Genomic DNA, 27,354 nt, shown 5'->3' with positions numbered 1-27,354 from the left:
GCACTTTGCATGGAAGGAGAAATGGCCAGCTGTGTGATTATACACTGATTCATGGGCCGTAGCCAATGGTTTGGCTGGATCATCAGGGAATTGGAAGAAGCATGATTGGAAAATTGGTGACAAAGAAATTTGGGGAAGAGGGATGTGGATGGACCTCTCTGAGTGGTCAAAAATTGTGAAGATATTTGTATCCCATGTGAGTGCTCACCAACGGGGGACCTCACCAGAGGAGAATTTTAATAATCAAGTGAATAGGATGACCCTTTCTGTGGACACCACTCAGCCTCTTTCCCCAGCCACCCCCGTCATCACCCAGTGGGTCCATGAACAAAGTGGCCATGGTAGCAGGGATGGAGGTTACACATGGGCTCAGCAACATGGACTTCCACTCACCAAGGCTGACCTGGCTATGGCCACTGCTGAGTGCCCAGTTTGCCAGCAACAGAGACCAACACCGAGTCCTCAATATGGCACCATTTCTAGGGGTGATCAGCCAGCTACCTGGTAGCAGGTTGATTATATTGGAACTCTTCCATCATGGAAAGGGCAGAGGTTTGTTCCCACTGGAATAGACACTTACTCTGGATATGGGTTTGCCTATCCTGCACACAATGCTTCTGCCAAGACTACCATCCGTGGGTTCACGGAATACATTATCCACCGTCATGGTATTCCACACAGCATTGCCTCTGACCAAGACACTCACTTTATGGCTAAAGAAGTGTGACAGTGGGCTCATTCTCATGGAATGCACTGGTCTCACCATGTTCTCCCCATCATCCTGAAGCAGCTGGATTGACAGAATGTTGGAATGGCCTTTTAAAGTCACAATTACAATGCCAACTAGGTGACAATACTTTGCATGCCTGGGACAAAGTTCTCCAGAAGGCCGTGTATGCTCTGAATCAGCGTCCCATATATGGTACTGTTTCTCCCATAGCCAGGATTCACGGGTCCAGGAATCAAGGGTTGGAAGTGGAAGTGGCATCACTCACCATCACCCCTAGTGATTAAGTAGCAAAATTTTTGCTGCCTGTTCCCATGACATTAAGTTCTGTTGGTCTAGAGGTCTTAGTTCCAGAGGGAGGAACACTGCCACCAGGAGACACAACAACAATCCCATTAAACTGTAAGTTCAGATTGCCACCTGGACACTTTGGGCTCCTCCTACCTTTAAGTCAACAGGCTAAGATGGGAGTTACAGTTGGCCGGGGTGATTGACCCAGACTATCAAGATGAAATCAGTCTACTACTCCACAATGGAGGTAAGGAAGAGTACTCATGGAATACAGGAGATCCATTAGGGCATCTCTTAGTATTACCATGCCCTGTGATTAAGATCAATGGGAAACTACAACAGCCCAATCCAGGCAGGACTAGAAATGGCCCAGACCCTTCAGGAATGAAGGTTTGGGTCACTCCACCAGGAAAAAAAAATCACAACCTGCCAAGGTGTTTGCTGAAGGCAAAGGGAATACAGAATGGGTAGTAGAAGAAGGCAGTCATCAATACCGGCTACAACCACGTGACCAGCTGCAGAAACGAGGACTGTAATTGTCATGAGTATTTTTTCCTTGTTTTGTTAAAAACATGTTTGTGCATGTTTATACTTGTACTAAGAAAATATCTTGATTTTATTTCCTTTTTCCTTTAGCATGTGACATAAGATTTACTGACTTCAAATCAGCATTTAAGTATTGTTAACTTTATGTAATAGTATTTGGGTTGGAGACTGGTGTGTTTCAGGTTGTACAAAGAATAGTTGTAATATGTTAGGCATAATTATGACCTTATTATTGTCTTTATTTGAAGATTATGTATGATCTCAGATGTGTATGGGTTCAAGTTGACGAGGGGTGGACTTGTGATGGTTCATACTGAGTGTCAACTTGATTGGATTGAAGGATACAAAGTATTGATCCTGGGTGTGTCTGTGAGGGTGTTGTCAAAAGAGATTAACGTTTGAGGCAGTGGGCTGGGGAAGGCAGACCCACCCTTAATCTGGAGGGCACCATCTAATCAGCTGCCAGTGAATATAAAGCAGAAGAAAAATGTGAAAAGGAGAGACTGGCCTAGCTTCCCAGCCTACATCTTTCTCCCGTACTGGACGCTTCCTGCCCTTGAACACTGGACTCCAAATTCTTCAGTTTTGAGACTCAGACTGGCTCTCCTTGCCCCTCAAACTTGCAGACAGCCTACTGTGGGATCTTGTGATTGTGTAAGTTAATACTTAATAAACTCCCCTTTATCTATATGTCTATGTCTCTATCTCTATTATCTATATCTATCTCCTATTCTGTTCCCCTACAGAACCCTGACTAATAAAACAATGAAAATATTTTCTATACCTTGTCTCCATACAGTCCTTAACTTCCAATCAAATTTGAATGCTTCTCTTTTAAATATGAACAGACAGCCAATAATCATGAGATAGTGAGGAAAGCCTCTAGCATGAGACACAAAGACCATGACAAACACACTGAAACAAGGAACTTGGAGGAGACAGATAAAAAGCAGGAAGCAGAAATCAAGTGTTAAGCAAAATCATAATTTTCTCAGAGAAATATAAGAAGATGTGCAACTTTGAAACAGGAATAAGGTGAAAAACAAACAAAAACAGAAGCATTCAGAGAAAAAGAAAGTGATCCTGAAAACTAAAATGTGGGTGGCAGAAATGAAAATGGAGAGAAGAACCAAAAAGACAGACAAGGGAAGCAGAGAGACCAGACTAGAAGGTGCAACTTCTGAATAATGGGAGGTCCAAGAAGAGAGAACAGGCAATTACTAGACAATTTCTCAGACATGAACGTTATGAGTTTCTAGACTGAAAAGATTCACCAAGTGCCCAGCATTTTTTTTTTTTTTAAAGATCCAGACTAAGACACATCAACAAGAAATTTCCAAATACCAGGTCAAGAATACTTCACATGTTTCTGGAGGGAAAGAAAACAGTTCATATACAGTGAATCAGGAATTACAATTGCATCAGACTTATCAACAGCATCGGGAAGATAATGTGAAAATACCTTCAAAACTCTCGAGGGACACAAGAAGATGCTGCCTGGCCACAGGAGCGAGACTGCTGGCCTCCAATCAGTCTTCTGGGCAGGCCTCTGATGCAATTACAGGGCTAAGGAACCACGGTAACCAATGTGCCATTGGCTGTGCTAAAACCCAGTGGCCCCAGGAAGAATCCTGTTGACACTGGCTTGGAACATGAGGCTTAAGGTTGAAGTTGAGCAGGACCCTGTGGAGAGGCTAAAGCAACTCCATCCTTGGATTCCCACCACCATGTTGACTTCTGATTGACCCCAGTTCCTGGAAGGCTTCTAAGGTTTCTCTTATCTATTGTTCCTTATGTAAGAGAAAGTACTTATTGGTAAATCCTGCCCTTAGCTCAGGCAATCCTGCCCTTAGGCAGATTCACATAGGATTCTTGCCTTTTCGACTGCCCTAGACATTCCTTCCCTATGGTATGTAAGCCCTGGGTCTGGGGGGGTGATGGGTAGGAATCCACCATCTCGTCTTGCCACCACTCTAGACACAGGCATGACTTCCATTCATAAGTCCCTATTAAATATTTCTTTCTGAGAAACTGGATTTGGCAGCCTCTTCTTCGGCCTCTCAGCTTCCTTGGACTCTGGGGTGGTTTGCATAGGCCTGCCAACCATGGAACACCCTGCCTCTCCCTAGGCCTGAACACAAATATTGGGAGTTGTTTTCAATTCTCTACTTAGCCTCATGATTCATAAACCCAGGCAATGAGGCATATGTCCATGGATACAGAGATGAGCAGGCCCCAAGTGAAGCACCAGCTCTGACATGGAGGGGAAGACGTGGGTTCTGCTGGGCACAGAGTGATTCCACTCTCTATAAACACGGCCCACAGGTGCCTGCAGCCCGACCATTCTGAATGACACTGCCTTCTCTCCTATTTGGGTGCAAAAAGCAAGAAGGAGGGATCATAGAAGTTGCCCCTGGACTACAGGGTTAAACCAAAATGTACGTATATTGACTAATGGAAGGATGATAACAATATTACGTACTTTTAAAATGTGTGTGTACTTAAGAACTGACGTTATACAGAATATAAAGGAACTACTACGTAGTAAATTCTTATATATACAAAAGCTGTGGGAGCTATACTTTGGTAAACTTCCTGATGGATTACATGGAAGTGGTAGTGGGTCAGGAATTTAACACTTGCTTGCAACTTTGTTGTGCTGCCAGTCAACCATACAAAGCCCAGCCATTCTAAAGGGTTTGCAAGCTCTTAACGTTCAGAGCACTCAACTCTCAAAGGCGGTTTTGTGGTTGTTTATAACCTCAAACACGATCACCCTTTGCCCCCCAACCATTTTCTCTTGCTCAGTATCTACACATCACATCTTCACCTTCCAATAAAAGTTCAAGGAACTACACAGCAATGACAGGCACACTCCAAACTCACAGAGGCTTTCATGAGTTAGAGTCTAGAGCCTGCTAGCAGGTTAGGATTTTAAAGAACAGTTTTAAAACTCTGTTTTGTGATTCCTGGGCCAAAATAATGCTCTCAAATACGTGCAGTGGTAGAACATATTCGATCTTTCATTCCTCAAATATCATCCTAACTTGTGCCAGCCATGGTTCTAGCACACAGTGGTTGTTCTAGGCACACAGTAGCCACAGCAAACTGCCAGCCACACCCTTCCTGGGCACTTGACTCTACAGCCTCTAATGCAAGCACCTGTGACTCTCTGCAGATGGCTTCTTTGGCCAGCTATTGAGCCAGAAACGCTGAAGAGTGAACCCCCTGTGAGCTGCCCTCCACCCACGGTTGGCAGGAGGGAGTGATAAGGCCCAGCTGCCTTGCCCCCTAGTCAGCACAGCTGAATCTATCTGATGTCACCTCTCAGAGTTCCCCAGTGGGGAGTGGGTCTCAGTGGCCCACATTTATAACCTCCTCCATGACACACACTCTTACCTGCGACTCCTGGTGAGGCAGGAGGCGGGACTTGATTCCAGAGGCAAGGCTTGGACATAGGACCAAACTGAGCACTAGCTAAAACAGGTCAGGGCAGATGCAGTTTTCCATAGGACACACCCACCAGCATGCCATGTCGGTTTACCGTTTCCATGGCAACACCCAGAAGTTACCACCCCTTTCCATGGCAATGACCCAATGGCCCTAAGGTTACCACCCTCATCCTAGAAGTATCTGCATACACCGCCCATTAATTTGCATATAGTTAAAGGTAGGTATAAATATGACTGCAGAACTGCCTCTGAGCTGCTACTCAGGGCACACAGCCTATGGAGCAGCCCTGATCTGCAAGGAGCGGCATCTCTGGCGCTGCTGTGCACAGCTGCTTCCATGAAAGCTGCTGCCTAACACCACCAGCTCACCCTTGAATCTTTGGGCAAATCCAAGAACTCTCCCAGGCTAAGCCCCAGTCTTGGGGCTTGCCTGTCCTGCATCATCTGGCAACCAGCAAAGGGACAAGGACAGCGGAGATGGTGGCAATTGGCAGAGAGGCAAGACAGCAGAGACAGAGAGGCAGCAATTGGTGAGAGACAAGAGACAGCAGTTGGCAAGACAGCAAGAGACGGTGAAGCAGTCTGTGATTGAGGATGTAAGATCTGTAACACTGAGGAAGTACCAATAAAGAGCTGCTAACACTACCGAGCTCTAACCCTAACCAGTGCCTCTTTTCACAGCCATCATCTTTCCCTGGCAGGTGGTGAAACTGAGTGGACAGCCAAGTGTCCATAGTACAGCTGCCTCGTGTGGGACCCACTGCTCTAACGAGCCAGCCCCCGACACAGAAGCTGAGCACCCCCAAGCTGGGGAACCTAGAGAGACCTGCACCCGGGTCCCACGTGGAAGACTGGCTGGTGCCATTTTGTCTTCTGTGGATGGGTGAGAGTCCCCTTTGCACCCTCCCCCAGTAATATCAGGTAAGCTAGGAAATAAAAGCCTTTGGCTAAGCGGTCAGTTCCCCACGGTTTAGGTGCCTTGAAGCACATTCTTGCCACCCCTTCACCTGGTTCTTTCTCCTCTGACTCCATTTTATTGCTCCACTTTGGTTTCATTTTCAGTCCTAACATGTATGTCTTGTTTGGAGTCTTATGTTTGCTTTCGACTTTCTGTTAATTGTATTTGGGCAATTGTTTAAGGCAGGACACTTGGTTGTGAGAGGTCCCCTGTTGTGTTGACTCTGGGATACCAGAGTCACGTTGTCACGTTGTTCTATGTTCTGTAACCTGGTCTTGGGTTCACGGGGTTGGCCGCCCACTGGGTACCCCAGGGTTTTTGGCACTGCTGTGCACAGCTGCTTTGGCGAGGGCATCCTTGTTGGCTGAAACGCAGGCATTTTGGGTTCTCAGCATCGGTATTATAGGCCACCCTCCAGATGCTCTGGGGTTTTTAGCACTGACATTTCCTCTAGGATTGTGGGTTATACCCCTTTCGCTAGGCGAATATTGGTCTTGTCTTTTTCCACCCTGAAGTTAGGAGTATTATTTTCCTAATAGCCAATTGCAAGCTCCTTCCTGTGTACTGTCTTATAACTCCCTTGCCTAAGCTGCTCTTGGTCAAAGGAATTGGGAGCTCCCAGGCTCCTGGCCTGGCAGTCAGCCACCTACAGTGGTAGACAAGTGGCCAGCCCAATATTTTTTTCAGTATCTCCACTACTGGGTAGGTTCTTCAGCAAGTCAGAGCCTCTGAGGTCTCCCCTTGGGCAACGCTGTTTACCCCTTTCCCTTCCTCCATTTGTTTAGCCCCCTCTCCACCCAACTCTAGATCTCTATGGAATTTAGGCTCCACATTCGACTGCCCATTCGTAGCTCATAATCCATTTTTATAACACCTTGCTATCTATATTTACACCTTTAAAGAACACGGGAATTTAAGAGGGAAGAGTAACTAGGCTTTTGCTAAACTTGGGCTAATAAAACCCTCTGTAGAGAGATCCTTAATATAGGCATGGGGACAACAAGGAGTATCCCAAGGGACTCGCCGCTAGGGTGTCTTTTAAGCTATTGGAGCAAATTCAAATTTGGCTTAAAGAAAAAGAAACTCATTTTGTATTGCAACACCATTTGGGTTAAATACAAGTTAGATGACGAATATATCTGGCCTAAACATGGTTCTATATACTATAGTGATATTTTACGATTAGGCTTATTTTGTAAAAGAGAAGGAAAATGGGAAGAGATCCCTTATGTACAGGCTTTTATGGCTCTATACTGGATCACGTTACTTCCAGGCATTAGAATGCCATGCATAAGGGATCCCCACCTAGCTGCTCCCCATAGAAAGTTCATAAGCCTCCCCAGAGTCTCTTCAGTCCCCCAGTCCTGAGTGGGGGTTCTCGCCAATTCCCTAATGAGATTCCACCCCAATATCATCAGGCACCTTTCCCCCTTATCCAACTAGCCCTAGCCTATACCCTCTGCTGCCCAAGAAAATGAGCCCAACCAGTACACCAGGAGTGGGGCTCCATATCAGCCCCTAAGGTCAAGCCTGTGTCCACTGTGGAAAGTAGTTGATGGAAATGAGGGAACACTCAAAGAGTACATATGCCACTTTCCATGTCTAATTAGACCTTATAAAAGGAAAGAATTGGCCAGTTTTCAGATAAACCAGAAAAGCTTATACAAGAGTTTGTTACGTTGACTATGTTCTTCAAATTGCCACGATTTACAAATATTGTCATCCGCTTGCTGTGCTGTGGGGAAAAAAAAGTAGAGGAAAAAGTGTGTGGTTAAGCCAGTCAATTATGACAAGGTTAAAGAAGTAACTCGGGGAAAAGATGAAAATCCCGCTCTGTTTCAGGGTCTTTTAGTTGAAGCACTCAGGAAATATACTAATGCAGGCCCAGACACCCCAGAAGGGCAAGCTCTCCTGGGTATACATTTTCTCATTCAATCTTCTCCTGACATTAGGAGGAATCTACAAAAAGCAGCAATGGGACCTTCAAGTCCTATGAAACGACGCTTAAACATAGCCTTTAAAGTTTACAACAACAGGGACAGGGCAAAAGAGGGGAGTAAAAAGAAATAGCCAAAAAGTACAATTGTTAACAGTGACTTTAAGCCTCCTTGCCCCTCAGGATTACTCATCTTGAGAAAATGTTACAAAATTAGCATCTGGGATGCCTAGACAAGACTTGATGCCTGACTTGCTGACCCCTGGGCCAGAATCACTGCGCCTACTATACGCAAAAGGGCCCCTGGCAATGCAAATGTCCTAACTGCTCTGGTGAGAGAGAACAATAACAACAAAAAGCTTCCATCAATACTAGAGCTAACCTTCTCCTACTAGCCCCAGTGAGCTGCTTAGCTCAAGTAAGTTTACTGTCCCAGAGGACAGCTTTCCACAGTGGCAGATAAGCAGCCGCCTGAACATTTTTCTTTGGTATTTCCACCACTGAGTGTGCTCTCCAGTGGCGTGGGGACTCCAGAATCTCCTTTTGAGCAATGCAGTTTGCTTCCTCCCCTTTTTAGTTGATGCTATGGGATTCCCTGTCCTGCCTTTTCCTGTTTTCCATACCTATCGGGGCAAACAAAATTTGGCCAGGTAGATGGGTCCCAGTTCTGTAAATAACTTGAATCCAGTTGTCTTGTATAGGTCATTTTATTTAATATGTTTTTGGGTATATGTACATGTATTGTGATGTGTGTTACATCTAGCGTGCTGTCAAACTGGCTTATAGATAAAAGAACACTCATACATTCAACAAATAAGACTACTGAAAGCTTATTAGTTTGAAGAGAATCTTGTATCTTCTAAAATTTAACTTTAGGATTTTTACCTAGGTAAGTCACTGATGTTCATAGGCTTTAAAATGGTTAAAATGGCTTTAAATGGTGACCAGCTTTGCATGGTACCTTGGTTCTCGGTGATCTAGATAAAGTTAAAAGTGAAATAATTAAATACACGTAAATGGGATATGCTTAATGTGTGGTTTAAAATCATAAAATGGTAGAATGGTTCTCAGTTATAGAATGACAATGTCTAGTGTGAAGTTCATGACTTCTTCCTTCCTAGGTTTCCATAAAATGTGCTAAAGAAATGTATTCTTTATTGAGAAAAAATTTTTTGTCTAATCCGGAAGTTACTAAATGGGAGGTTCAAAACATGAGTGAACCAGTGAGTAGAAAAGAGAGATGTAAAGAATATTATGAATAGAAAATGTATTTTTTGTTTGTTTTGCAAGGAAGGATATAAAGAAAGAGTAATTTTATATGTGGAGGAATCCTGTATAGTAAATTCCCTATCCTAGAGTAAAATAACTTTAAGAAAGAGGTAGTATAGAACATGTCAGGAAATTCAGCTATGTTGTAGATGGTCTGTGTAAGTCATCTGCACAGTGCATGAGTGTGGAGGTGGGCGGGCACTCATTGGCCCTTGAACTCCTTTTGAGCAGTATGGAAGCCAAGAACTAGAAGCCAGGAAATGGGGTTGTAAAACTGATTTGTCTATGGATTTTATGTGTTGAGCTGCTGTGGTCTTGGCTTGTAGTAATTACCTATATGAACCTTCCCCCCTCCCCTTTAGAATTTAGGACAGGTTCAAAAGGCCCTCCAATATAAAAATAAAATACTGTCCTTCCCCACAAAGGAAAAAATAGCTCCCCGGTTCAACCAGGAGACTTAGTCTTGCTAAAACCTTAAAGACAGGGTAAAGACAGGGATACCCCAAGAATCAATTACAATGAAATGGAAGGGGCCTTATCAGGTATTGTTAAGTACCCCCACTGCTGTTAAACTTCAGGGAACACCTACTTGGGCACACAGATCCAGGACTAAACCTGTTTCTTATGAGTCACAGGCACAAAGGAAGGGCACTACAACCACAACCAATATCAGTAAAGCTTTGGAAGACCTCTGCTACCTATTTAAAATAATCAACACTCAGCCAGAAGAGGTAATGTAATGCTGTAGATGGGAATAGGAGCATTGATCTTGCTCTTCTTCCTGACTGTAGTACTTCCTTTCTATGGCTTTAACCAGCCACCTCCTCCTGGGAAACATCTCCTGTGGGCTTGTTGGGTATAGAAGCTACTCTAAGACCCAACCAGATACCATGATGCCACTGTTAATTCTGTTTGCTCTTCTAATTAACCTAAGCTAGTGTGTATGTGGACAGGGAGGGTGGACAAAATTCTACAGTAAATATTTCAAAAATTATAGCATCATAGAATCATCTTTATGGCTGCCAGATTTGTCATCAACACCCCCAGGATAGACAGTTTCATCTTCCGACCTATCTGGAAAATCTCAGGACCATGTCCCCAGACCTCCTAACTAACCATAGCACCCCAAAATACCCAAACCCCTATTGTGAAGTGGAACTCTTCCCCACTTAGTGGATCCCCCCTGGACCCTGCTGTCCCCCTGCCCTGACCACTATTATCGGAATCTGGGAAGTTGGGCATCTATATCTCCAGTGCACTCATAACTCTAACATTTGCATCCACTCTTGCATTAATGACACAAAAGTGGAAGCTTCCCTGCGATGCTCTGGTCCAACTCTAGTTGCCAAGTTTCCAAGACCACGGGGAGGTAAATGAGATTCCATTTGTGAGTGAAAAGACCATATATGGTACCTTCTCCCGGATGGGAACATACAAAGGAAAAACAACTGCCTGATCTGGGAAGGTGACAGTACTACCTTCTTCTAGAAAACAAAGATTGTTCAACCACCACCATGAGAACAGGTGGAAAATATCTCTATAGACCCAACCTGGCAATGAAGTATAAACATCGCACCCCGCAGGGCTTCTCTTGGTGCCCTAGTTGGGTTCATTTTTGTTTGTGACTATGAATGGGAAGAAGTCACACCCTGTAACCACTCCAACTCCCTAAGGAGTCACCTCTTCTTTAAGGAATAGCTTTCCCTTGTATCTAAAAAACTTGGAACTGACATGAATGAACGTTGGCCACTCTTACCCCTCCAGGGGTCACAATCTATAACGCCTAGGACCCAAGAATATCAGAAATAAGTAAGCAATAAAACTAATTCTGGCAGGAATCAGGGTGGCAATAGGACTAGCAGCACCCTGGGGTGGCTTTGCCTACCATGAGTTAACGCTAAAGAACTTGGCTCAAATCCTAGAATCCTTAGCCACCAACGGAGATCAGGCATTAAAGAGAATTCAAGAGTTCCCCAGACTCTGGAAAATGTAGTTGTTGATAACAGACTAGCATTGGATTATTTACTAGCTGAACAAGGTGGGGTCTTGTGCAGTTATTAATAAAACCTGCTGCACATATATTAACTCTGGACAGGTTGAGGTTAACATTCAAAAGATCTATGAGCAAGCTACCTAGTTACATAGATATAACCAGGGCACTGCCCCCAACTATATCTGGTCAACCATCAAAAGTGCCTTCCCAAGTCTCACCTGTTTTTCACCTCTTCTAGGACCTTTGACAACTGTCTTGTTACAAATGTTTGGTCCTTGCTTCTTTAACCTCTTAGTAAAGTTTGTGTATTCTAGATTACCACAGTTCCAGAGACAATGCTGGCACAAGGCTTCCAGCCCATCCTGTCCACTGACACGGAGAATGAAATCGTCCTGCCTCTGGGCTCCTTAGATCAGGTATCCAGAGATTTTTACTCCTCCAGTGCCAGGCAGGGCCTACGTCCATAAACTCAGCAGGAAGTAGTTACGGAAAACAGATCTCCGCCCTTCTGCAGCCCCCTTAAGATTAAGGAGGAGTATCTAATCTCTGAAGGGGGAATGAGGTAGGAGGTGGGACTCAACTCTGGAAGTGGGGCTCAGGCACTCAGACCAAACTGAGCACTAGCTAAAATAGGTCCAGGGCAGATGCTAGTTTCCATAGGACACACCGACCTGTGTCAAGTCAGTTCACCATGGCTCTGGCAGCACCCAGAAGTTACCACCCTCACCCTGGAAATGTCTGCATAAACTGCCCCTTCATTTGCATATAATTAAAAGTGGATACAAATACCACTGCAGAACTGCCTCTGAGCTGCTACTGTGGGCGCACAGCCTGTAGGGCAGCCCTGCTTTGCAAGGAGCAGCGCCTCTGCTGCTGCTGTGCACAGCCGGCCGCTTCAATAAAAGTTGCTAACACCACTGGCTTGCCCTTGAGTTCCTTCCTGGGCAAAGCTAAGAACCCTCCCGGGCTATGCTTCAATCTTAGGGCTCGCCTGTCCTGCATCACTGGGATCATCTCCCAGTAAACTAGCCACACTTACATCCATGTGTCAGGGACATTTCTGGAGAAAGCAGCCCAGGACACTGTTGAATAAAACACACAATAGTCTCTGTGGTCTTCTCCACCCCACCCCACACCAGGCACCCTCAGCTTGATTCTCCTTTTTAATTGCCTGTAAGCAGGGAAGCACAATGTTTTCACATTCTTTGTAAGGCCTTTGTTCTACTAAAATCTAACCTCAGAGCACAATTTTAAACTAGATGAAAGAGTTGCTGCGCCTGAAGCACTGCAAACACCTCCTCACCACACATGTGCACTCACCCTGGACACCCTCACTCACCCTGACACCCTCACTCCTCACCCTGGACACCCTCACTCACCCCAGACACCGTCACTCCTCACCCTGGACACCTCACTCTGCACCCTGGACACCCTCACTCACCCTGGACACGTTCACTCACCCTGACACCCTCACTCACCCTGGACACCCTCACTCACCCTGGATACCCTCACTCCTCACCCTGGACACCCTCACTCACCCTGGATACCCTCACTCCTCACCCTGGACACTCTCACTCACCCTGACACCCTCAATCCTCACCCTGGACTCCCTCACTCCTCACCCTGGACTCCCTCACTCCTCACCCTGGACACCCTCACTCCTCATCCTGGACACCCTCACTCAACCTGGACACCCTCACTCCTCACCCTGACACCCTCACTCCTCACCCTGGACACCCTCACTCCTCACCCTGACACCCTCACTCCTCACCCTGGCACCCTCAGTCACCCTGACACCCTCACTCCTCACCCTGACACCCTCAAGTCTTCACCTCCCTGGCTGCAGCCTGGGACACGCTTTCCCTAACTTCTGAAGGCTCAGTCCTCCTCAAGCCAATCTCATCTCAAATTGCACCTCCTCAGAGAGGTCTTCCATAACCGCCCTTATAAAGCAGGATTCTTTCACCAATACCCCTTCCCACATGGCACTGTCTCACAGCACTCCTCTAAAAGTCTGTTTACTTCCTTGACAATCTGTCTTCCTTATAAGGGGAGGTTCTGTAAAAGCCAAGACTCTCTCTGTCTAGTTGACTGTTGCATACCAGGGCTTAGACCAAGGCCCTGACATGCAGTAGGTGCTTAATATGTTTTGAGGCAAGGTCTTGCTCTGTTGCACATGCTGGAGTGCAGTGGCACAATCGTAATTCATTGCAGCCTTGAACTCCTGAGCTCAAGTGATCCTCCTGCCTCAGCCTCCTGAGTAGCTGGGACTACAGGCATGCACCACCAAGCTTGGCTAATTTAAAAAAAAAATTATATAGATAGGGACTTGCTATGTTGCCTAGGCTGATCTTGAACTCCTAACCTCAAGCAATCCTCCCACCTCGGCCTTCCAAAGTGCTGGGATAATAGGCATGGAGCCGCCACACCCAGCCAATGTGCCGAAGAAAGAAAGAAAAACATGCTCATCCTTTGAGTCAGGTTCAAATTTTTTCTCCTCTTTAACCCCCAGTCACTCCAGTTATAAGTGATTTTTAACTCTTCTCACACTTTAATGCATCTGGCAAGAAGATCCACGTGGTGTTAGGAACAATACAGGACCTTAAGGATGGGGGAATCAGCAGGTGTCAGCGTGCCCTGTATGCTCAGGGCAGCTGTTTCCACTGGACATTCTCCCTTTGCCTCTCTGGGCAGCAACTCCTAGGCCAGCCGACCTGCTGTGTCGAGTAACCAGGATTTCTCAATCTTGGCATGGTTGCCATTTTGGACCAGATCGTTCTTTGTTGTGGGGGCTGCCCTGTACGGCAAAGAATGCCGAGCAGCACTTCCAGTCTCCACCCACAGGACGCCAGTAGCACCCTCTAAGTTGTGAGAACTCAAAATGTCCCCAGAGGATGCCAGATGTCCCCTGGGGTGGGGACACAATCACCCCAGGTTGAGATCCATGGAGCCAGGTCTGTTTGCCACCAAGGGGTAAAGCTCCATTCCCACCTTAGGAGGGCTAGGAGGCAGCATCGTGGGGCCACAGAAGGCCTGGGTTTGCAGTCAGAGGACAGGATGCACATTCCTTCAAGATACAGACCCAGATTGTTGGGCATCTAGTTCTTGGGTTTTCTGTTGTTGCTGTTCCGTTTTGTCTGTCTTCCCTCCTTTGTTTACTAGCAGCCTGGAATTTGCCACTTTTTCTAAACGAAGATTTATGGAACACTTACCACACGGCTGACGCTGCGCGAGGCTAAGGTTCTAATACACCGCAGCTCACTTAACTCTCGCAATACCATAAACGCACACTGTTTCATCTTGACCCTTTCTTGGGAAGGTGACAGAGAGGTAGGAGGGCAAACATCTTGTGTGCCCCGTCCCAAGGGTATTACTGGTGGAATAATATCCGCCCCCCACCCCAGTTTCTAATTTGCTGTAGGCTGTGACGCTGTGGGGCAAGACTAGGAGTCCTGTTGAAATTAGGAATAAGTGTGCTGTGAGGGAAGGGCTGCCTTATTTTAGAGCACAGATTTTCTGAATATCTATTTTGACAGGTTCGATCCTCTCCCCTTCCTGCCTTCCTTCTGTCGATTTTCAATGTCTTGATGGTGTCCCACCTGAGTGGCCTTTAGAGATGTGAGTTGTGAGGCACTGGGGAGGCAGGCACACGTCCTCCAGCCCAAGACTGCCTAATTTAACAGGGATTTCTGCATTCTGGAACAAGCCTCCATTTTCCCCAAGCAGGATTACTCCAGAGGGCAAAACACAGCCCAATAGTATCACATTTCCTTTCTGCTTTAGCAAAAATAACCACTGTCTCATTCATGGGAAAAGGCCGCCAAACAAATTTGTTACTGGAACCATTTGTAACAACTTCTAGTTTGCACTGCCTTGGAGCAAGCACACTTTGTAGAGGAGGGATTTGCAGTTACTTGGGCAACAAGGTAACCACTGATCATTACAGGAAGCTTCAGAAACCGTGGGACCAGTGTAGAAGAATGGACTATCTGTCCAAACTAAGAATAAAAAGAATGACACTTGTATTTTGTATGTCTTTTTCACTTTGCCTTTCTAGTAATTCATTTTTCTTGATATTTACACCTTGTGGCCCTGTGATAGACTGGAAATCTCAAAAACACACGTTCAGCACCAAGATTTTCAGCAGCACCGCCTCAGAATGAGACCCCTAGAAAAAACTGCGTGTTTTCCACTTGCCCAACACGAGGAGTTTTTGGAACACGACCTGCTTGAGGTGGAGATTTTCTAGATGGGCAAAGAGAAGGAAACACTTAACCTAGGAAGAGTATTTAGGAAGAAGAAAGAACACAGCCTTTCTGCACAGGAAACCGCCGAGCAGAGGGGCATCTGGCCTCTGCAGTGGCCTCCAAATAGAGTCCAATGGCTGGGGCCAGCGTGGCTGCTTAAAGGGGACTCAAGGGATATAATAAAATGCAGATTCTCAGGTCCTAGTGCAGACAGGCTCACCCAATAAGTCTGGACTGCATATGGGAATCTCTATTTCTAGGCCCTTCTGCAAGGTATTCCTGCTCTTTCCAGGAACCATCGGCAGCTGGTTTGGGGAAAGAAGCAACGACTCCAAGTGTGACCTGTGAGCTGGCAGCAGCCACCCTCAGCTCTGCTCTCGGTCACTGAATCCGATTCTGCATTTTAACAGGACCCCAGGTGTTGCACCCACACAAAGCTGAAGCAGATTGGTCTGGGGGCAAAAAATTAGAGCTATGGAGATTCTCTCAAATGAAATAGATGATATCATTGACTGTTAGAGCTTCTAGAAGGAATCTGAGGTCACTTGTTCAAATTCCCTGATTTACAGATGAGGAAACAGAGGCTCAGACAGCTCAAATGACTTCTCTCCAATACCCAACATTCGACAAGTAGCAGCTCTGGGACTAGTACCCAAAGCACCTAGCTCTCCAATCACTGCGCAAGCCACACAATTCTGTCTGCTTGTCAGTGGCTTTTCTGATTCAAAAAAAGCTTAGGAATTTCCCCAGGAGGCAGCACGATGTAGTGGGAAGGGCTCTGGATGTCTCTCCAAGGCTTCTGGAATTCATGCCCACCTCCACCAAGAAGCCACTTTCCTGCCAGCTACAGGTGCTCACCTGAAAAGCAAGCCAGACCATATTAACCCTGGCATTGCTGGTACCTGGAAGACTTTCTGATTCAATGCTTTCCACCTCCTCCTACCCCTCACCACCCCCGTGGCATGAAATCCTGGGGGCTGCTTTAGAAATTGTTTTCTTTGGCTGCTGGTGGGGGTGCTGCTGGTGGGGGTTTGCACAGCTGGCACACTGCACCAGTCTGGTGGGGGTTTGCACAGCTGGCACACTGCACCAGTCTCCTGCCTGCTGCCAACAAGGCCATTTCCCAAGCACTGGCTTTGGAGAAGTTGGGGCTCTGAAGTGGGAACACAAGGCTGCCTTTTGCAGGCCAGGTGTAAATTCTCCCCCTGCCACTTTCAGCCTAGCGTGAAACAGATGGAGTGTGCATTCCCACTTCCCTTTATGGTACCCTGGAATGATGGAGCTGCCCAGGGCATCGCCACGTTACTCTCTAGACAGTCTCTTTGTCTTCCTGCAATGGCAGCGCCGAGGTTGTATATTTCTAGGTGCAGGTATATGATTGCCATATAATAAAAATCTGAAAACATCCCACCCGGGGCCTGGGCTGGACAGCAAGCATTAGCACAAAACAAACACACTCATTTCATTTCCTTTATGTGGTTAATGTCAGCACTCCCAGAGTATTCTCTCTTCTTTTGAGAATTCTAAGAGCAAAAAAGTGACCACTTTTTTTTGTATTGAGTAGCAATAGTCAAATATCAAATTAGTACATCTAGGCCAAGAGAGGATGAAGGGGAGCCAGGCCAGGAAAGTCACCCAGAAGAGGTGACACTCTCTTCCTCAGGTTCCACCAGAAACATGTTTATACCCAGGGAAATTACAGAAGGGGTGCCAGGCTGCCCACCTGCCTCACAGGTATGCCCTATTGTCCGGGTAGTATCTGTTACCTTAACATACAATGAACCCCAGTGTCTCACCAAGGCTGGGCAAACAGGGTGACCCAGAGGAGGGATCCATGACACACAGCAAGGGACTCAAGGACAGGCAGAGGCTCACAGTCAGTCATAGGAGCCTCAGGTCACCTGGAGAGGGACCTCACTCACCAGCAAGGAGGACCACCACCCCGTTCCTGCTGTACCCAGTGTGGGGTTGGGGCAAGAGTCAGTGCCCACTAACCCCCCACCTCTTCTCCAGCACAGGTAGACCCTGAATTCAGGGGCCAATGCTTGACCTGCTCTAGTCTATGAATGAGATGTTACATAAATCCCAAGGCATGCTGTCAGATACTAGGGAGAAGGAGAGAAACACCACCTTTAAATTCCTCCCTCTCCACCCCTGGGAGCAATGCAGCTACGTACCACCACCACAAAAGAATAGCCACTTGGCCGCGCGGTGGCTCACGCCTGTAATCCTAGCACTTTGGGAGGCCGAGGTGGGCAGATCACTAGGTCAAGAGATCAAGACCATCCTGGACAACATGGTGAAACCCCGTCTCTACTAAAAGCACAAAAATTAGCTGGTTGTCGTGGCACACACCTGTAGTCGCAGCTACTCAGGAGGCTGAGGCAGAAGAATCGCTTGAACCTGGGAGGTGGAGGTTGCAGTGAGCCAAGATCAGGCCACTGTACTCCAGCCTGGCAACAGAGCGAGACTGTTTAAAAAAAAAAAAAAAAAAAAAAAAAGGCCACTGATCACAACAGCTATCCTTATCATTTTGGGATCATTCCAGGAGGAAAAAGGAAAAATGGGCAGGCAAGGGGAGGTGAAGCCAACTTACCTACAACAAGGAGATCACACAAGGAGATCAGGGATGAGTATGGCGGGAAGTATGGGGGGAAGCACCTGTTTCATATTAAATATATCCTGATTGATAAGGGGGTTGCCTTATAATGTCTTTAAAACATGAAATACTGAAGCTTTCTACATCCATCCCAACATAAGTGTTTATTACTCATAGGTATTTAAATATCATTGATCTAATCTTGTACACATTGGATTTCTCTCATATTATACATTAATTTCAGCAATTCTAGAATTAGTGCAACATGACATGGGACATTTTAAATTCTTTTTTTCGAGACAGAGTCTCGTTCTGTTGCCCAGGCTGGAGTGCAGTGACACGATCTCGGCTCACTGCAACCTTTGCCTCCCAGGTTCAAGCAATTCTCCTGCCTCAGCCTCCTGAGTAGCTGGGACTACAGACATAAGCCACCATGCCTGGCTAATTTTCATATTTTTAGTAGAGATGGGGTTTCACCATGTTGACCAGGCTGGGTCAGGTCAAACTCCTGACCTCAGGTGACCCGCCCGCCTCAGCCTCCCAAAGTGCTGGGATTACAGGCATGAGCCACCGCGCCCCGCCTGACATTTTAAATTTTCAAGCAGTTACTCTCCAGCAGGAAAAACAATACAGAAGTACAGAAGGGAAGCAGAAACACTCCTCTCTTCCTTCTCCCACCCTAAGCCCCAGGGCACTCTCTTGCCGCAGGCTTCATATCAATACAGCACTAAAATCGTCATTTGTGTATTGCCTGTGATAACAATTACACTTGAATCCCAAATTGAAATTATTAACAATTAAAAGGTGAGGTAGAATCAAAGAAAAAAAATCCATAGAATGAAAAACTTAGAATGAACTTGTTGTGGATTAAATCATGTTCCCCAAAAGATATGCTGAAGACGTAACTCCGGTACCTGTGAACTTAACCTTATTCAGAAAGTGGGTCTATGCAGATGTGATGAAGTAAAGATGAGGTCAGGTTAGAGGAGGGCAGGCCCTAATCTAATGACTGGTCTCCTTATAAGAAGAGAGGAATTTGGCCACAGAAACTTACATGGAGGGGAGAGATTGGAGTCATGCGGCCAAGGGTCAAGAAATGCCAGCAGCCATCAGACACTAAGAAGAGGGAAGGAAGGATCCTCCCCCAGAGCCTCCGGAGGGACAGTGTTTCTGCTGTCGCCTTGCTTTTTGAACTCTGGCCTGCAGAATTATGAGAACAAGTTTCTATTGTTTTGAGACCAGGACATTAATGCAGAAATTTGATTCTCCACAGCTGAGGAAAGGGAAGATGAGGGAGGTTACACACTTGCTCCTGGTCACAGGTGTGACACTACAGTGCTCAGGACCTGTAATCACATCAGGATGCTTCCTGTCAAACCACATCATCTCCAGAAGCATGAAGATGGTTCTTCTTAAAAAGTTACTGTAACTAAAACACTGCACCTAAGGAGGAACGGCAGTGACGTGCAAAGACTGAGCTGGGCTGACCCAGATTGACAGCTCCACCCTGCTTTGCCTTCACTAGTGTGGCCCTGGACAAACTACTCTGCCTCTCCAAGCCTCGGTTACCCTGTCTGAAAATTAAGTCACATTGTTGTGCACATTTTCCAGGACGTTGCAAGGATACAATGAGGTGAGCCACGCACAGGGCTTCACGTGCCCTTTGAGTGTCCAACACTCCATCAGCAAGAAATCAAGGTCAGCTCTTGATCTTATAAACTATTTCTCAGACTCCTGTCCCTCCTTGTTGTTTCAAGCTGATTTCTTGGCTCACCTTTCCCAGTCCTCTGTAATACAGTCTTTGATGAATTCTTTCTCTAAAGCCCAGAAGCTGCCACTTCTCACTCGAAGGAGCTGGTGGCAAACTGGCTTTGACTTTCTTGTTCTTTCAACCTCAGTAATTGTTTTTTCTCATTGTCTTTAATAGTTTACCATTTCAAGTGGCTCCATCAGATTTCTTCTTGCTGGGATTGCCTTCTTGTTTTCAGCCTCACCTACAGTCAGCTTCATTTGGGGAGCCTGGATGGCTTCTTCTGAAGAACACAAACTCTTATTGCATATGCTGGATCCATATTTTCAATACAAGTCTTCCAAATAATTGTGTACTAAGAGGCTGATAATCAAGTGAATGCACCATGATTAAAATAGGATTCGCCAAAATAATTAGGTGGCCCTTTACATTCAAGTGTTCAGGTATGAGAATAGTTTTGCTGTCTGCTTTACCTATGTTAGTGGAGATGACAGAAAATCTTTCAGAAAAAGAATCCCAAAGGCTTTTTTTGAAGCTACTACAAGGTATATGGCTGCACACCTTCTCCTGTCTTCAGCTGGAGTTATTGTGTTAACATGAAAGTCTCTTTTTTCATAATAGAAATTGCTGTAATTATAATTACTTTAGAAGAGTGTTATTATTAATAAGACCAAATTGCACGGTTCAAGCAGGTGCTGGTTGAAAGAACTGTTCAAAAGTTCTACAGTTCGAAAGAACCCACATAATGGGATCAGCCGCAAACCTGGCAGTCATCTCCATGCCAACGTGGCCCTGCCTGCCAGCACACACGCCTTGCAGCTCTCAGGCGGGCTTCCGGGCACATGCCTGTGACTCCTCACAGAGTCACTGGGCTTTAAACAATGGACCTCTAGTTCCTGATTAAAGCCTTCGGGGAACAAGCACACTTCCAACAGTTGACTTTCCCATAAAAGAAGGGGAGCTGGAGGGCTCTGGTTCCTGTTGAACCTCTCCTCTCAAGGCCTCTCCCGTGCACACCTGGATCCAGCCCTTCATTCTGTTGCTCATTCAGCAGTGCTGAAGGAAAGAGGAGATGGGGGAACAGCACGGAGTTCCGGAGGGTCCAGTTGCAGTCATACAATAAGTCCCTAACACCTTGGGGTGTACGTTCAGGGTTCTCTGGCTAGAAAGGGTAGTTTGAGGCCAAAACCAAAGAGATCAGGAGGCATGAAGGGAAGGAAGTCGTTATCTGTCTGGTGGTTCAGAACTTGGCTTCTGAAGTTCAGCTCCCTGGCTTCCATTTTTGGCCCTCCCTCTTTCTTGCCCTGTTGCCCTGGAAAGTCATTCAGTCTCTCCGAGCTTCAGTTTTCCCACCCCCAAATGCGTATAAGACCCCCGAGGGGTGGTGGGTGGTGGGTGGGGATTCCTGGGAAAGCACACCTAAAGCACAGAGCGCAGTGCTTGTCACGTACTGAGCTTTCAGACATTGTCTATGACTATTACTTAATTCTTGAAAAATTCTTGGTTATTTATTGCTTGAATTTACAATTCCATTTTTCTCTCCACCTAAGCAATTTTTATTTTAGGCTTCAGAGAATCAGCAGAGAATAAATGCATGACTCCTGGCCATTAATAGAGCAGGAAAGCTCACTCCAGGTTCAGAAGTCACCTCACTGCTGCCCCCTCTAGCCGGCTGCTGACACCCTGCTGGTGGTCAGAGACATTTCAGGGCAACACAGGCAGGTAGTGAATCCTAATGCAGTAGTCAGGAAAGCCTGACTTTACAGTAGGCATTTGGAAAGATTTGGTTATAAAGCAGCTTATCGCTAAATCAAGCCAGGAGGGAGGTACAGGATATTTCATTCCCCATCACATGTAAAAATTAAATCTGTCTCTGTAGAAGCAGCGCTCCCTGGAAACATGCTAATGGTTGAGAAGTAATCTTGAACCAACTACTGCCTTGGCTACGGTAAAGACAGGAGCCTAGGTACTCAATACATTTCTGTTAATTAAATTAATTAAACCTCATCATTTTAAAATAAAGGTCATTGAATTAATTAACAGGCAAGTTATTATTTATAAAAGCTTTTTTTTTTTGATTGCCAAAGTTAAGTATTTTTTAGTCCTTCTTCAGGCTTCTCCCTTTCCCCTTTGCTCTGGAGGGAGGGTTTCAGGGCTTCTTTTATCATAGCCCTCAGACCACCCACATTTACTTTTAGTAGAGAGAATTCCCTCGCATCAAAGCACACATGTCCAATGGGGATTCATTCAAGGCCTGTTCCAAAAGATTCTCTGCAGGTCACAGAAGAGGTTCTTCCTCAATATCTTGTCATATTTCCAAGGTTCTCAGCACCAGGCACATGTTCCCACGTGTTGGCTGCACCAAGACCACATCTTACAGCCAAGTTAAGCTCCCTCAGCTGATGGGGATTCCTATTCCCTCCCTCTAACCATCCACTCCTGGAGATGGCAAAGATCACTCACGTGGCTTCCCATGACTTAGACGAAAGGCAACTAGAATCAAAGTTTGAATATACGCTTTTGAAGGTTTTTTTTTCCCCCTAAACTAATTAAACAACTACAGAAGTTATTCGGCAGTTTCCTTTTTTAAAAGAATTAGCATGGCATGTCTTTCCTCTTAAAGTCTTGAATAATTTAATGAGAATTATACAAAAGTCATGAGTATGTTCTATTTATGGGGGAATCATAGCTGAATCAAAACCCAAATGACAATGTTAAAAATAAAAATAAACTATCTTCAAATAGTGCATTCAATTGAGCAAAGGACTTCAAATCCCACTTGGATTAGACAGTTTGAAAGTAGGAGGGGGCAGATCAATTGGGATTTTTTTTTTTTTTTTTTCAGATCACTGTGCTTGGGAACATTTGTTTCTTGCTACAAAAAGTGTTAGTAAATGAACATCAGAGTAAGAGAAAAGGAAAGCTGTTTGATTTTATTTTTGTGTTGTAATCGGGATACCACTTGGTCCCCGGACACCTCACTCAGCCCCTGTTTTTTTCCCGGTAGCTGGAATGCTTTTCACACTCTGCACACCCGCGTGTAGATGCATCGCTCCGTGCAGAGGGGCAGGGCCGCCGGATGAGCGAGGACACAGCTGACAAACCAACTCCGAGAAAGGAAAGCGGGCGCAGGGGAGACGCTGCTCCTTCCTCAGAGCAGCAAGCGAGCCACTTCTTAACCGGGTTGCTTTTAGCTGAGCTCATGCATAAATCCTTTTTAAAGGGTACTGCGCCTTTGGAAGCCGGCCACGAGCCTCTTTAGCAATGAGACAGCATGGTGGTGGGGTGGGGGGGGGGCGGGGGGGAGGGAGGGTATGAACACGAGGTGATTTTCCCCATAATAGCCCGTCGCCCAAGGCCCACCGCTCCGTCTCCCGCTGGAAGTAGGTGTCGCCCGCAAGAAGGAAATCACGTTATTGGAGGCGGCAAGTTCCAGGTCTCCTCTCCCGCCCAGCCCCGCGGAGGGGGAGCTCACAAGTTCTGAAACACTCGCGCACACCCCTCAGTGCGCCCCGGGCGGGGGCTGCCGTCCTCCGCGACTCAAGAGCGAGCGCCCCCGCTCCCCGGCCCACCCGAGCCCCTCTGCGTTCCCCGCTCTTCTGTGCGGGGACAGCTGCTGCTTTGGGGGCGACGCTAAGCCGCGTGGAGGCGTCTCTGGACAGCCCCCTCCCTCCAACGAGCCCGAAAAGCCCGCGGCAGCAGCCGGGGGTCCCTACCTTCTGCGGGGGGGTCCCGATCAGCATCTCCAGGTAGTAGCCGCGGCCAGAGTCCCCCTGCAGGTTGTCTACCATGGCCAAGAAGTTGGCGGCGCCCGCGGGGGACGCCAGGGCAGGCTCCAGGGCGAGCGCCAAGCCGTCGGCGTGGCGCTCGGCAGGGGTCCCGGGTCCCGGGGTGGGCGCAACTACGCGGTTCGTGGCCGCGGCCACCCGGAGGGGCAGCGTGAAGGGCGCGGGGGCCAGCTCCGGGGCGGCGCGCAGGAGCCACTGGGCCAGCAGAGGCAGCAGCAGCGCCCGGGCCAGTGCGCCCATGCCCACGGCGGGGCCCGGGGGGCGCGCCCAGCCTAGCCGGTCCCGTCCCGTCCGGCAGCCGCGGCTCAGCGACTCGGCCGGCGCGCGGGGCTGCGGGCAGGGATGGGCGCGCACCGGGACCGGCGGCGGCGGGGAGGACGGGAGGAGGGCCCAGGGGAGGAGGCTCGCGGGAGGGGAGGAGGCTCGCGGGAGGGGAGAAGGCGGAGGCCGGGGAGGCGGGCGCGGAGGCGCAGAGCCGCCCCAGCCCGCGCCGCCAAGTTGGGCAAGTTCTTCTCCGCTGCCCCCTCTGGCGGCCGCGACTGCCCCGCAGCGGCCCAGCCCCTCCCCCGCGGCCAAGGTCACAGCGGGGCTCGGGGGGCGCCGGGGTCCACCTGCGCCTGCCCTCCCCACCCTCGCCGGGCTCAGGCCGCGCCTCTTCCCCGGGAAACTCGAGTCCCGAATTTCCTCGGAAAGCGCCCCAGCGGCCACGGCCAACGGATGTGACGAGGCTCATCTGATACCGGGGGGAAAGTTTCGAGAACCCTTAAAGGGGCAGCGAGGGCCTGAACTAGGGCCCCGGCCCCGCGCGCTTGGGGGTCCGCGGGGGTCTATTCGCCCGGCAGTGGCGGGAGCTTCCGGGGGTGACTCGGAGGTCAGCGAGGAGAGCGGTGGATCGGGAAGGAGCCTGGAGCCTCGCGCGCCTTTCCGAGCCTGCGCCTCCCCTCGCCAAGCTCCTCCGCCTCATTTCAGTCGCCGGGTCTGGCTGCTTTCGAGGCGTTTCCCGTCCGCTGCCCCCGAGCCCCCGCCCTCAGTCCAGCCCGTTCCCCGGCCTCATCCCCCGGCGGCCCCTGGGTGGTTTTAAAGAGGTCTCAGTGGAGGCTGGGAGGGTGGAGGGTGGAAGGAGGCAGAGGAGGATGCGAGAGCTTTGGAGAATTTTCCCTAAAAATCGGGGGAGGTGGGGGGCGTGGCTGCTGCTGGCGCCTGGCCCCAGCCTCATTGCCCCCCCTTACTCCCTCTGTTGCCCACAGCTAGCTGCGAAGCTGGGCTTCACCCCAGCCACCTTCCCCCCACCCCCGCCCCCTTCGCCCCCTCCGCCGCGCCCCTGTCCCTAATGCAGGTCAGATGCTACTGGAACCCGCTGCCTCCCCTGGCACCCAGCCCTCAGGCCACCTAGTAAGTTGCTGTCAGGATCCCAAATCAGGGCCACGAGTCCACCCTGCTGTGATCCCTGCCCTTCTCCCCCACCTCCCCTTCTATCCCCAGCCAGCTCTCTGCGGACTGTCTAATTAATACTCGTTTAGCCATAGACGCCAAGACGCAGAAATGCGTTGAGTAATGCAAGCAACGAGGGTTATTTTATTTTAGATACTAAAGGCAGGGGGGACAATTAGACAAGCTAAAGTCCATCGATTTCTACAGAAACAAGGAATAGAAAATTCTTTGTACCTCCTCCAGCTGAATTATGTTGGCTGTTTTAAAAAACAAACAAGCCCATCTTCAAACAGTGGGGAGTTAGAAGCCAAGCTTCCCCGAATCACTGCAATTTTCAGCTACTTCTACTCAAGATTTGATTTTTATTCCTGTGTTCCCAATTTTAGAATCACGTCTAGCTCTGCAAGGGACCTTTATGTCAGAGATCTTCAAATGTATTGATTTTCAGATGACTTTAACCATAAATCACACTTCCCCCAAACTATATCTCAACTTTAACAAATCCCCAACTCCATGAAGAAAGGCATAGCTGGATCCCGTGATATAACTTAAGTTGATATTCTCCATAAATCTGCATAGTTATTCCAGAGCCCTTCTATTCATATATTCACGTTTCAGATTCAAGGTTGTGGAGGGAATGTGATTTTTTTTAAAATGATTATTTATACTCCTTGGTGTCCAGTCTTGAGGGGTTCAAAAAGACATTCAGACAGCTCTGGGAAGAATATAATCTTTCTGAAAAGCACATGAAATGTATTAGGGCCATTGATAAAGAGGCTATGTGACATATAAGTTTAATACTAGAGACATTTGCTCTGTCTAATAATTAAAAGCCACAAGGGAAATTTTTAAAAAATCAAGTCTAATTAAAGTTTGTACAAGAAACGCGTGACTCAGTCTAGGGTGAGTATTCCTAAGCTTTTCATTTTAAGAGGGATGGTTTGGGTTTGTGGGGAAAAGGATGCATAAAGATCCAGGGATGGAGGAGCACACAGGCTTCCATGGATGGCAGAGCTGTCTTGTCAGAAAATAATGCAAGCTGAAGGGACAGCATTGGGTGACTGTCTCCTTGGTTGTCTCTGTTTTCATGAATGGTCTTAGAGCATATGATCCCTATTCAAGCCTATGGTGCTGGGTGGATTTGGGAGACAATAATTTTACTTTCCAGGTGTTGGAACTGAAATGATAAGTGGCAGCCCTCTCATGGAATAGCATTGATTTTTAAACCATGGTGACCGATGCAGGGCAGAGAAAGGAGAAGGTGAGACCCACCCTCCTGACCTCACCCCTAACATCAGAGGACATGGGATACTGCCCTGCTCTTCCTCACTCCACCAGAGCCTCCAACTCCTTCCCTTCTCCTTACAGCCTCTCAGCACCCTCGTTTTCAGCCATGGCCTTCCTGAGTCCATTCAGGAAAACAAAAGCCCTGCAATTAGATGGGCCTTCTCTCCTTGGAAAGAACAAACATCACCATTAAACATGACCCTGGACGGTGGAGAGCGAGGAAGGATCTCACTCTCCAGCCCAAATGACTAATAGAAGATTCCTGGTAGGAACGTGTGGCGCTCAGCCAGAAAGAGTCACCATCCCATGTTCCACTGATGTTTGTTGTCTCTCACTGCCAGCTCCCAGTTCCTTTTACACCTGCGATTGTAACCGGGCCTATGTTAGATGAATCATAAGGTGTTTGTTTTCCTTTATCGTGGTCCTTGGCTTCCTCCAGGCATGCCTGTTTGCACATAGTCCTTTTAATAGAAGGGAGTCCCTTGTCATTAACTTTATATCCTGGCCCCAAGCCTCCTCACATGATTAATGAACTTGTTTTTCTTTTAAAGAACAATGATCTTTAGGTTAGGCAGATCTCTTTGATGGCATCCAGAAGTTTGATCGGGCTGGGCCGAGGGACGCAAACAGCTTTGATCATGGGGGATCTTACCTCCCACATACTTACCTTACCCATAGAGGCGCCAGCTGTGGTCCTGAACTGATTCAGAAATTTCAGTATTCTGAATTCTGTATTTCTGAGGCCTTTAAAAAAATGATCCTTTGATATATCTACTGAAAAGTTCTGGAAACAATAAGTATCCTTAGTATCATATTAGGGTTACTAAATATCACTTCCCTCCAGAGAGAACCAGGGCTTTTTGGAGAAGGCTGATTTTATAAACTGAATAAGATAACCCTAGAATATCTCATCACACCAGAAAGCAAGGATGTTATCAAAGACTTCTGAGGTCTTGTCATAAGCTGGGGCAAAACGGAGACAATTTAAACATCATTAAAGGCAGTAACTGCAATGCCTCAAAACACTTCAATTATGTTGAAATCTATTTGCTCATAATGTTCTTTTTAAAAGTACATTGA

At 47.5% G+C, this 27,354-nt stretch overlaps 1 protein-coding gene, 1 long non-coding RNA gene and 1 other non-coding gene across 6 annotated transcripts in view, besides 2 other annotated features; 1 reads left to right on the top strand and 2 right to left on the bottom strand.

Moving 5' to 3' along the window:
* BACE2 (beta-secretase 2) overlaps positions 1-23,900 on the bottom strand; it is a 114,371-nt gene extending 90,471 nt beyond the window's left edge. For 3 of the 4 annotated variants that reach the window (NM_012105.5, NM_138992.3, NM_138991.3), the window contains exon 1: positions 23,485-23,900. In NM_012105.5, the coding sequence (NP_036237.2) occupies positions 23,485-23,796 (312 nt within the window). In that variant the 5' untranslated portion in view covers positions 23,797-23,900. Of the gene's footprint in view, positions 1-4,963; positions 5,040-23,484 lie in introns of those variants that run through there. The other variant, XM_017028314.2, reaches the window with a different exon arrangement.
* PLAC4 (placenta enriched 4) lies at positions 6,821-16,829 on the top strand. The gene has a single exon (NR_148920.1). It is a non-coding gene; the product is annotated as a placenta enriched 4 (long non-coding RNA).
* Positions 11,536-12,345: an enhancer, noted in NCBI's record as "H3K27ac-H3K4me1 hESC enhancer chr21:42551642-42552451 (GRCh37/hg19 assembly coordinates)". NCBI's record gives its function as "activates a minimal SCP1, AML or CMV promoter by ChIP-STARR-seq in naive H9 embryonic stem cells {active_cell/tissue: H9 hESC(naive)}" and the evidence as "EXISTENCE:reporter gene assay evidence [ECO:0000049][PMID:30033119]".
* Positions 23,892-24,341: a silencer, noted in NCBI's record as "silent region_13329". NCBI's record gives its function as "represses an Ori minimal core promoter by ATAC-STARR-seq in GM12878 lymphoblastoid cells {active_cell/tissue: GM12878}" and the evidence as "EXISTENCE:reporter gene assay evidence [ECO:0000049][PMID:35858748]".
* On the bottom strand, positions 24,431-24,503 carry MIR3197 (microRNA 3197). The gene has a single exon (NR_036167.1). It is a non-coding gene; the product is annotated as a microRNA 3197 (primary transcript).
* Between the last annotated feature and the right edge of the window lie 2,851 nt (positions 24,504-27,354).

This window comes from Homo sapiens, chromosome 21 (assembly GCF_000001405.40).
Source record: "Homo sapiens chromosome 21, GRCh38.p14 Primary Assembly".
In the NCBI taxonomy this organism is placed as follows: domain Eukaryota; kingdom Metazoa; phylum Chordata; class Mammalia; order Primates; family Hominidae; genus Homo; species Homo sapiens.
The sequence above is the reverse complement of the archived record's forward strand: the minus strand, read 5'-3'. Positions and strand labels throughout refer to the sequence as shown.